Consider the following 11,978-nt stretch of genomic DNA (forward strand, 5'->3'; position numbering starts at 1 on the left):
GAAATTTAACATTTTTTCACATTTTTAATCTCTCTATCATGTTTGGGCTTTGAGAGGTTGAATTTAGACACCTTTACTTCACCTTAGAGTTGCTCAACTGGAAAAAAAAAAAAAAAGCCCAGGATGACATCCCCTCCTCAGAGGCAGAAGATGGAACAGGGCAATGAAAAGTCCTTCTAGAGTTTGTCTAGTGAGATAAGTGTTTAGAAGGAGAAATGAGAAGGGAATGAGATCACTTTCCCAAAGCTGTTATATGCTCCTTGATATAATGCTCTCCATAAAGGCTTGTATAGTGAAGTAATTTTGGCTTTGGCATTATGTTTAGTGAAAGCCATGGATTTGAAGGAACTTTCTGAATAGCTCTGTGGTAATACATGCAATAAATCAAATCTATCATCAAGAGTAGCATTTTTACTAGCAGCATTGGAGAGAGAAAAAAAATTACAGATTACATGCTGCTTTATTTCATAGGGAAAAAAATTATGAAAGCCCTAATCCTTCCAATATAAGTTATTTTGCAATGATTCATAGAAGCCAGAATGTTTCTGTCAGGGTCAAATCAGGATACAAAACCACACAGTAATTTGAACAGGGACAGTTTCACATAAAGAATTGATAACTGTAACACAAGATTGGCATACCAAGGGATTGTCCAGGAAGAAGTACAGGGAACTCTAAAGAATGCAAGAATACAGATAAAAGAAGCAGATAATACCCCTAGGGCTGAGATAGAGCATCCAAGGAAGAGCTCCCACCCCCTAGGTCAGCTGGTGGACTTGGCTTTGGCTTGCTGAATGTCAGAGAAGTCACTGTGTTGCTGGACCAGCAGAACTTGTATATCCACCCGTTAGGGTGCCGGGAAAACCTTTTCACTGGAGATGCCTCACTGGAGCCAGTCTGCTACAAAACTGCCCAAGGGGGTTACTGGAGGAAGCTATATATCAGAGAGCATGTAACAGCCTTGGGAAAGTGATCTCATTCCCTTCTCCTTGGCTGGCTGGGGGTGCTGCTGTCTGCTACACTTTGCAGGAGTCAGGCACTGAAGATGCTACTCATACTTCAAGAACCAGATGCTGGAAAAGCCACCTACATTTTAGGAGTCTGGCGCTGGAGAAGTTACATATGTTGCAGAAGCCTGGTTCTGCAGTCACAAGGGACAGATGTTGAAGAAGTGGCCCTTGCTGGAGAAGTGGGTTGTGCTGCAAGAGCCTGCTGATTGAGCACACTGGAACCAGGGAGAAAACCTCCCGAAATGTCTCTCTAGTGTCCTCTACTGATAGAATGTATCACGCCAACTGACAAAAGGGAAACATTTCAAGGCCCCAAACCTATTTTCACAGATTAGGCATTGAGGGTGGAGTTGGAGCTGAGAGGTAATGAATTGGTAACTGGCAAAGAGAGTACTTTCTTTAATGCAATCTCTATAGCTAGTATAACTTTTGTTGTTGTTGTTGTTGTTGTTTTGTTTGTTTGTTTGTTTTATCTGTGAAGCAATTCTGATACTTGGACTCGACTACTTGGGATTTTATTCCCTTCTACTACCTCCAATTCTTGAGAATGTTTACATCTTGGGGATCAATAGATACAATAATCTTTGTATTTATAACATGCTGTGACTCCACCCAACTCTTCACATTCCTCTCTCTCAAAGAAGATAATACCTTTTTTTCTCCTTGTTGAAATTATTCCTGAGTGAGCTTATACCTCTACCACTCTGAGCTTTCTTCTCATGGGCAAATATATCCAAGCATTCTGGTGTTTGAGGATGTAGATAGACAGTATGATATTGCACTTGTCCTGACTCATTTTCTGGAGTGATCCTGAGTCTCAAAAATGTACACTCTGCCTTTCTTTGCCTACAAAGATGGCCATGTTGCTTTAGATAGTTTTACACAGAGACTCAGTGGAGTTCAGGACTGTTGAGCTATTTTTACTTTGAAAGGTACAGACCAGAGTTTCAAAAAGCTCTTGCATTTATTGTATTTTAAAAAAATATGTAAAAACATGTTACATTAATGAAAATGCTTTGCATGTATAGTGTTTGTTATCTTCATTGTTAAGTCTCTGGAGACCTTTATTTAATTCATTTAGTGATCTATCCACCATATTTAGTCCACAGAGATTTTGGAAAACATTTTATTACAACCTGAACTTGAAGGCATTTTTTTGCTAACAAAAATCCATTCATTCTGCAGTTATTCATTCATGCATTGATTCATTTAGTATATAAACATATATTGAGCATATAATTTTCCATGGGTGGTTATGGAAAAAGGGGTGAATGCAAAAATGCTTGACAGATTTCCCATCTGGACAGCACTTCAAAATCTAGAGAGAAACAGATAGTACAATTGCTATGATGCGGAGGAGACTATGATAGGTGTTTTAAAGAAGTTCACAATGGCAAACTAAAGAGAGATATAAATTCTATGATCTAAAAATCAATTAGTTAAAAATAGAATTTCATAATCAAAATCATATAAGAAGATCACAAAGGATGAGAGTGTTAGCTCCATAAGGAAGGAGGCTCACCATATTTGTCATCACCTTCCTAACTCCCAGTCATGGTAGACTCGCTCTATACATTTGATGATTGCCAGTATGCACAAGGAAAAACCAACCATCTATGTGGGGTTGCAAAAATGAATGAGAAGAATTGATTTGTTCAGATTCTGCCACTAATTGCGAGCTTGAAAAAGTCTCTTGTGTTGGAAGGTCCCTAAGACCACCCTCAGGTTCACTGATTCACTAGGAGGACTCACAGAACTCAGCAAAGTTATTATACCTTGGGTTGGTTGTTACAGCAAAAGGATGCAGATTAAAAGAAACCATAAAAAAAGGAGGAGCATAAACTAGGGTCCAGAAGACACAGTTGTCCTCTCCCAGTGGAGTTAAATGAACAGCACTTATTTCTCCTGGCAAAGATGTGTGACAACACTTAGGAAGCATTGTCAACCAGGAACATTCACTTGAGCTTTAGTGTCCAGGGTTTTTACTGGGGGCCAGTTACATATGCATTGCTGACCACCTATGTGGCTGACCTTATTCTCCAGCCCACCAGAGGTCAAGTTGATAGCACATAGCCCAAGGCTCCTGCCATAAATCACATTGTTAGCATGGAATCTCTGGCTCTCTGGCATGGTTCAAGGCCCCCACCATAAATCACATCATTAGCACAGACTCTGTGGCATGGTCAAAGTCCCCAGGTAAACAAAGATACTCTTATCAGGCAGGACATTCTAAAGGCTTATAGGTTGCCTCCCGGGAGCCTGGCAAGGCCCAAACTTTCCTTGAAATATGCAGAGTGTGAACAGCCCTGAGTTAATCCTTTGCTCTTCACCATTTAACTTCTGTCTTTTCCTGATTGTCTTCATCTATAAACTGAGGTGACGGCAAAAAATGGACCAAAATAATTCCCAGCTTTAAAATGCTACAGCAATTTAAATTTTTAATTAAACAACAAAGAAGAAGAGTAAGCTCTAAAGACATTCTAATTCAGTAAATGTTTAAGAAATACCAGAGTGTAAAGCAAGGACACATTTTTGTGTATTTCTTACAATCAGGTAATAGTTTTCTTTATCTCCGCATTCTGCTTGTAAAGACAAATGGTGTTTTTCAAGCCACGTTCCCACCAGCTCCTGGCCCTTCTACCCCGCCTAGAATCCCCACCCAAATCTCTGGAAAATGAGTGCCTCTCAGGAGACTTTGAAAATTAGTTCAGGCTAAATGCTACTGGATAAGTAGTGTTTAGCAGCTGTTTGAAATAAGAAAAAAAGGGACATGGGTTTCTATTGCAGCAAGAAGAATTTAGGTTCAATTTGAGGACAATTTGCTAACTAAGAAGTAGATGGAAAACTAAAATAGTTATCAAGGTTTATGGAGTCTCCTTGTCTAGGAAAAAAATCAGAAAGTGCATTTCTTTATCTTTCTGGGTAGTTTAAGTTTAGAGCTGACCTTACAAAGATGCCGTTTTTGTTGTAACACCCCTAAGCTCAGAAATTAAACCATATCCAAAATAAACTCAGTGGCTCAGGCTCCAAAAGCAGATTAGAATGTTTTAGTAGACACAGCGTATTTATGGCACTTCAGTTTAAGCTTCAGCTTGAAGGTGGATTAATTTTGGAGTATTGTACCCGAGTTATTTGGGATGAGAAATGCTAGAACATAAAGTTATGTTTTGAGCTAGGTTCCAGCTCTCTGTAGGAGTAGGCTTCTGCTCACAGGAAGCTAAAATGAATTTGAAAGCCACAATTGCCATGCCTTCAGAGAAAGACATTTTCTACTCAAAAAGCAAAGCATTCAGTACCTAGTTGAGCAGGTAAGCTTGATTCAGCATTGGGCAAGGCCAATTAATATCGACTAATGTTACCACTGCTTGCTGCTGACTGCCGCCTCTGTCACTGCTTTTATAGAATGGCATCTTTACAAATGGCATAGGAGGCTGTCATCAGAAATCGTTATTCCTGGAGTAGACTAAGACAATTTATCATTAAAAATCATCATGGAAAGTGAGATGTGATGACCAGTTCATACTTTGTGTAATTCTAGACCAATCCCATTAATTTAAGAGCTCATTTATTACCAGAGAATGACAGAAGATCACCAGGGAAGAACTGCTCTTGGTCTAAGCAAAATTAACATTTAATTCACTAAATTTCAGGACACAAACACAGATCATCAAAGATGCATGGAAGAAGTAACGTTAAATACATTCTTAGTATGAGCTTGTTGACTGCTTTTGAGAAGCTAGCACCCCATTTAAGCAGTCAAATGATGTAAGTATAGTAGTTTGGGGATCAGAAACATTTTCCTGGTTGCCTTTATCTGTGTGCTCTCTTGAGTCTAGTTACCAGCAACATCAGCATTGCATCTGGAAGGTTGTTAGAGTTGCAAAATCAGGTCCCAGTGCACACCTACAGAATCTAAATCTGCATTTTCACAAGATCCTTGGAGTGATTCCTATGCCCATTCAAGTTTGAGAGGCACTGCTTGCAAATCTGGACAGCTGCCTGTTTTTGTAAATAAAGTTTTATGAGTCAAGCTTTTGCATTTACTTAAAGTCTATGGCGTCTTTTGCACAGCAATGGCAAGACCAGTACTTGCAGCAGAGACTGTATGTCCCACGAAGCCTGAAATTTTTACTGTATAGACCTTTACAGGAAAAGTTTGCTGACTGCTATGAGTCTAGAATATTGTTTTCTAGCTTTGCTGAGATAGGAAGAAAACTGCCCCTTACTGTATCTGCAATAATATAGGCTTTAGGGTGCAAGCTTTTCACAGCTTTTATACTAGAAGCACCACTGACTTTCTCTTTTCTTCTCTTTCTTCTTTTAAAAAGGTTTCAAGATAAATGGAAGAGATTAAAAGCAGTTTGAGAGTTTTTGTATTAAAAGCTATGTAAAAATAATCTATTCAGGTCATTTTATTTCTGGATTGGAGTGTAAGCCATTGGAGAGACCAGAGATTACACTTTTTAAAAATCTCCTAAAATGGCCTGCCTGCATAGTGTGATGCATATAGTCTTTTTTCCTGCTCCAAACCCTGAGATTTAAATACTAGAGCTACCAAAGACAGTAGTCAATCTGTATTTTTTCTTACATTGTTCACCTGTAATTTTCTGAATGTAATTTTTCACTTTCTTACCAAGACTACAAGCCGCTCAGAGATATTTTATTAACATTCTCCAAATATCCTTCTTTAATACTTGCTGGACCCCAAATAAAATTCAGTATGTGATTCTTGGTTGAGAGAATAGGACCGTGTGTGGCTCTGTGTTCCTGGTCCCTCATCCAGTGTCCTTTATATAATAAACAGTGAAGAAACATTTGTCATATGATTTCTTTGCAAAAAAAATAAATAAATAAAGCAAAGTCCAATGAAAGTCAAAAAGACCTAAATTTCACTACCAATGCACTCTAGGCAATGTGGCCTTCAAAAAGAAAATGGCCCAGAGAACAGCACTGTCATCCCTGATGGAAGGACACGTACATTTACGACTGTCCCTCCATTTTCCAACCAACCCACACTTGTCCTGCTGCTCTTTGGAGACCATGTCAGATCTACCACCTCATCAGCATTTATGAATATGTATTGTTTATATTAGCCACCGGTATACAAAAACAAAACAAAAGAAGCTTCATTCCAAAGAATGTTGACATTAATTCAGCTTCAGGACTTTACACAGACACAGAATGCTCTAAACAGCCAGATGGTATCCTGATCTTAAGGTTGGAAAAAAAAATTGATGGATTTTGATTTCTATGTACCTTTATGCCTGAGAGTCAATCAAGGGCTTTCTAGAAGATTTGACTGTGAAGAAAGGGTCTGAATAGGAAAAAAAAAACACAATGGCTAAACTTCCTGACATTAGAAGCAGCAGCAGGCCTACCATTCTAAATATTTAGCACCTACCACAAAGGAAAGTCAAATCCCCATATTGGCTAAATCTAAGGTGCCAAAGGTACTAACACCATCTAAGACCTTGCTGTGGAGATGACTGAGGCAGGAATGGGTAGGCATTTTAATAAAAATTCATGTATTTCAAGGGCTTAGATAATGTGAACTAAATAGATATATCTTCTTCCTTTGGAAAATTACTCTAAGGAAAGTTTATTTATTTATTACATTCAACAAATATTTACTGAGTCCCTTCTATGCCAGGCACTGTTCTATAAACCAGGAATATAGTAGAGGTGAAAGCAAACTCAAATCCCCAATCTCAGAGCTTACATTTTGATGACAGAGAGAGAGAGAGAGAGAGAATAAAAACTAAAGTAAAATGTACATAGACAGTAAGAAGTTCTAAGTAAATGTATATAGAGAGTGCTAAAGGGTAAGGAGAGGTATTGGGAGAAGGGTTAGAATTTGACATAAGGGAGTCAGGGAAGGTCTCCCTGAGAATGCTGATGCTGGAACCTACCATCTAAGACCTCGCCATGGAAATGACTGATGCAGGAATTGGTAGGCATGAGCTTATCTGGTCCCCAGATATGACAACGGAGAAAGTAAGAACACTTAGGAGTGGAGGGCAGGACATCAGACATTGGCACTGTGTGCTAATGTCAGCTGGGGTGCTAGCCGAAGGGCAGGTGTCTGCATCGGGCTTGTGCTGCATTATGATGTCATAGAGGAAGTGAGATTGGAGGAGCTCCTTGAAGAGAAGGCTAATGTAATCTGACTACACTGAAGTATTTCTCTGGAATAATAATTTTCTCAGGACAAGCAGTGTGCCCTTCCGTGGAATATATTAATTGAGTGCACACAAGCCAGTTTACCCTTCCAGTTCCTCACTCTCCCTAGCCCTTTTGCTCCTTCCACCCAGCCCCACTCCAAAGCCTTGGGGAAACTAAGGAGAGCTTCACTTAGACCTGTCCCATGTTTCCTGGTGGAGGGAGGGCAGAAGTAAGGGGCAGATGTCAGAGCTGCTAAGCCAGGGAAGAATAATAAGACAACCTGTTATGCCAGGTGCTTTCAATTTTCATTCTGCAAAGCCAAAAGCAGACACAAAGTTCTACCACCTTTACAAAAAAATGCTCATCTCCATTAATGGCTGGTAGCAGCCTGGTGTCACTCCTGTTTCCTATTGCTGTGAGACACATATGGCTATGGCTAGGACCCCACAAATCATCCAGTAAGTTCATTTTTATTAGTAGCTTCTGCTTAATTAAGGGATGCACCATGCTCCATCAATCAGCTTCTGTGCATTCGAGTCATCCCTAGTCACTCCATTGCTAATAGATGTAGTTCTTGTGCTTTAGGAAAAATAAAAGATCTGGGGCATATTGGCTCCAAAAGTCAAGGGAGATAATGATTCTGACAGCGGGAGCACTGCTGTGGCAATTCCTTTAAACATGAAACTGACTGACTACAGAGGCAAGTACATGATGTCTCTACTTTTCAAAGATAGAAGCTTTGATTCATTAGATCAGATGACTATAGATCAGATGTTAATATTAACATTTTAATATTGGTGTTAAACAGTATATAATAGATCAAACTAAGTTTTGCATTACTTAAAAAGGACATAATGCAAGATATATGAAAACCAGGAGGCAAAGTGCCATGGACAGGAATGAGATTGATATGTAAATGGTCCCTCACTTAAGATGGTTCGATTTAACAATTTTTCGACTTTATGATGGTACCCATGCGGCCATTCTGTTTTTCACTTTCAGTGCAGCATTTAATAAATTATATAAAGTATTCAACTCTTTTAAAATAGCCTTTGTGTTAGATGATTTTGCCCAGTTGTAGGCTAATGTAAAGTCTTCTGAGCATGTTTAAAGTAGGTTAGGTTAAGCTACAATGTTCGGTAGATTGTCTTCGACCCTCAATATTTTCAACTTATGGTGGGTTTATCCGTGATGTAACTCCATCCTAAGTAGAGGAGCATCTGTATATTTTTAATGCTTTTGCCTCCATTTAACTTCCTTATTCAAGGTAAGGCTCTAAGTTAGAACAACTGTTTATCTTTTTCCTGTGTAGGTTTCCAAAACTTTCAAAGTACATTCCATCCTCTTGTTCACAAATTCTGTACTTGCTAAAAGTTATTTGCAACTTCAAAATCAATACTGCTAGTGCTTTTGTAATCATTCGCGGACATCGCAGAGTAGCGAAAAATTTGAGTCGCTCTACCAGTACCTTCCGGCTAAGGTCCAGCAAGGACCTTCTTTCCCATCTCATGCAAAGCTGGCCAGAGGACAGGGACGGTAGGGGGCAGCGCAGGGTAGTGCAAGAAGGTCCTGCTCTGGGGACCATTTGGCGGGGTTTGAATCCCAACTCTGGCATCTGTGAGTGGAGGGCGTCTGACCAACCACCTAACACTTTTGGATCTCATGTTGTCTTTTGTAAAATAAAGAAAATAGAATCTATTAATATCAGAATGTGTTGGTTTTTGGCAATAAGACAATAAGCTATGTGAGATATATGTATTTGTTGTTGTTGTTGTTTTGTTTTTGAAACTGGAGTTCAGTGGGGCAATCTTGGCTCACTGCAGCCTTCGCTTCCTGGGTTCAAGTGATTCTTGTGCCTCAACCTCCCTAGTAGCTGGGTTTATAGGCATTCACCACCACTCCGGGCTAATTTTTTTACATTTTTAGTAGAGAAGGGGTTTCACCATGTTGCCCAGGCTGGTCTTGGACTCCTGCGCTCCAGATCCACCCACCTTGGCCTCCCAAAGTGCTGGGATTACAGGTGTGAGCCACTGGGCCAGGCCTGTACATATACTGTATTTCCCCTAGGAACAATGGTTCAGTAGGAATTAATTCAGTGTTTGTGCTGACTTTATAGAACTTAACTCCCATGAGTAATGAAAATCAATTGTAGTATCTTCCCCATTGGCAAATGGGTATGCAAAATATTTTTAAATTTGCATAAAAAGCCATAAGGGTAAGGAAAATATTTATTAAAATTGATTTTTTTAAGAAAAACTATGCAATTCTAAAATTGGCAAAAATATATAAACAGACACTTCCCCAAAAGAAGATATAAAGATGACAAATGTGTATATGAAAAGATGTTCTATACCTTTTGCCATTAAATAAATGTGACTTAAAACCACAATGATACCATACACACCTATTAGAATTATTAAAACCATAAAAATTGACAATAGCAAATGCTGACATGAATGCGGAGCAACAGGAGTTCTCATTCATTGCTGGTAGGGATGCAAAATGATATAGCCACTTTGGTAGACAGTTTGTTTCTAATATAGTTAAACATATACCTAACATATAACCCCAAATTCCACTCTTAGGGATTCACCCAAGTGAATTGAAAACTTATGTTTACACACAAGTCTGTACATTAATGGTTTATTCAAAACCACTAAAAAGTGACAAAAATCAAGATGTCTTTCAACAGATGAGTGAATGGTACACCCATCTAATGGAATACTAAAACAAATAAAGGATGAGCTGATTGATTTATGCAATAGCACGAAAAATCTTCAGTATATTTTTCTGTGTGAAAGAAGGCAAAACCAAAAGGCCACATAGTGTATAATTAATTTCATTTGCGTGATATTATGGAAAAAGGAAAACTATAGGGACAGAAAACAGATCACTGGTTGCCAGGAGATGGAGGAAGGAGGGGGTTAACTAAAAAGCAGCAACAGAGGAGAATTTTTAGGGTGATGAAACCATTCTTTCTGATAATGTTTTGGTGGATACATGACTCTATGGATTTGTCAAAACCCATAGAACAATACATTACAAAGAGTGAGTGTTTTTGTATTCAAAATTTAAAAAAATCAACCAGAATATTGGGGGTCCCAGGATGGAATGAAGATTGTATCTAAATATACAATCTTTGAATTACAAATACATTACAAATATACAGCATAATGAAGAGGAGAGGAAAAAGGAGCCAATCTAAATAACTTTGTAAAAATGGTGTTTGGGCTGACATTGTAAAGCTAAAGACAAAAACAAACAAAAAACTGTGCATAAACACTGTACTCTGATTGGTAAATTTGTTTCTCATAGGGGTATGGGTTATAAATTCTGAAACTAATTTACATGTTCACTATGGTTGAAAAAATGTGTAAAATAACTTGTAGATAAAGGGAGCTCACTTGCTTACTATTAGAGAAAAAAGTTGCAAATAAGCAGGTAGAGGTGCAGGGGTGGGGGTGTGGGAAGGCTGGAATAATTCCCATTGTGGTGGCTTAAATTTGGAGATGTCAGCTTGATTTCTTTTAACATATATACCAATAGATAAATATGAAGTAAATGTAGATATGTGTTTATACATGGGTTAATATACATCTAGTCTAGCCCTATCTCCTGAGATGACCTGAGAGCACTGATACCTCAGTAGCAATGAGCACACCTGGTACCCAGATCTTGATTTCTAAATACCATTCTACAATAAAAGGAACCAGGGCTTCTTGGAGAAATAACTGTTTCTAGACAAAAGAAAGAAATTGTAAAAAAAAAAAAAAAAAAAAAAAAAAAGTTAATAAAAAAGAAGGATGGAGACATGTCAAAAGAACTCCCAGGGCCAAAGCTAGAATGATTTGAGCAAGAAATAATAATGAGAGCATTGGATTGTAATCCCCAAAGTATTATTAACCCACAAGCCCACAAGTACACAATGATATGAATAAGTAAATGGGAAGAACAAGCAAATCTTCTTTACAGAAACATTCCAAATAATATAGGTAGAGATTATTCCTTCCAGGACATAGAGCTTAATTCCACTTTCCTATGTGGGCTAGACTTAGTGACTCACCTCCAAAGAATAAAATGTAGGAAGGGAAAAGTAGTAACTTTACAGGAAAAAAAACTTGGCAGATACCATCACCTTAACCAAATAATGAAAGTTAAAATCACCAGTGATAAATCGTGTTGTTCTCACATACCCATGATACAACGCATAGTCCACATCTCTGGTCCTTTTTCTAAAACCCTTAATCTCATTATAAAATAAAATTGAGGGGTATTCTATAAAATTCCTGACTAGCATTCTTCAAAATGTTGATTAAGAAAAAAGAAGGGAAAACTAAGAAACTATTACAGATTGGAGGAGAAAAGGGAGACATAACAAATAGATGCAATGTGAATTGGATCCTGGAACAGAAGGACATTAGTGGAGAACTGGTGAATAAAGTCTATAGCTTAGTTAAAGTATTATACCAGCAAGTAGAGTAGTCTTCTCTTTTTCTGCAAGGGATATATTCCAAGATCCCTAGTGGATGCCTGAAAACGAACACTATATATACTTTTGCAGTTTGAGGTGTGACAGTAAAACTAACATGAATTTCTTTTTCCTTCTTCACCATTTCACGGATAGAAGATTCATTCTTAGCATAGATCTTAGCAACTACAGCATACAATTTTTGTTCTTTCCTTATTAAGTAGAGAACTTTAAGATTTTCACTTAAAGGGAACACTTCTTTTTGGCATTTCCAAATTGCCAGCATCACTACTCTTGTGCTTTGGGGCCTTTATGATGTAAAATAAGGGTTATTGAAC

The sequence above is a fragment of the Homo sapiens genome, chromosome 1, assembly GCF_000001405.40.
Source record: "Homo sapiens chromosome 1, GRCh38.p14 Primary Assembly".
Taxonomy (NCBI): domain Eukaryota; kingdom Metazoa; phylum Chordata; class Mammalia; order Primates; family Hominidae; genus Homo; species Homo sapiens.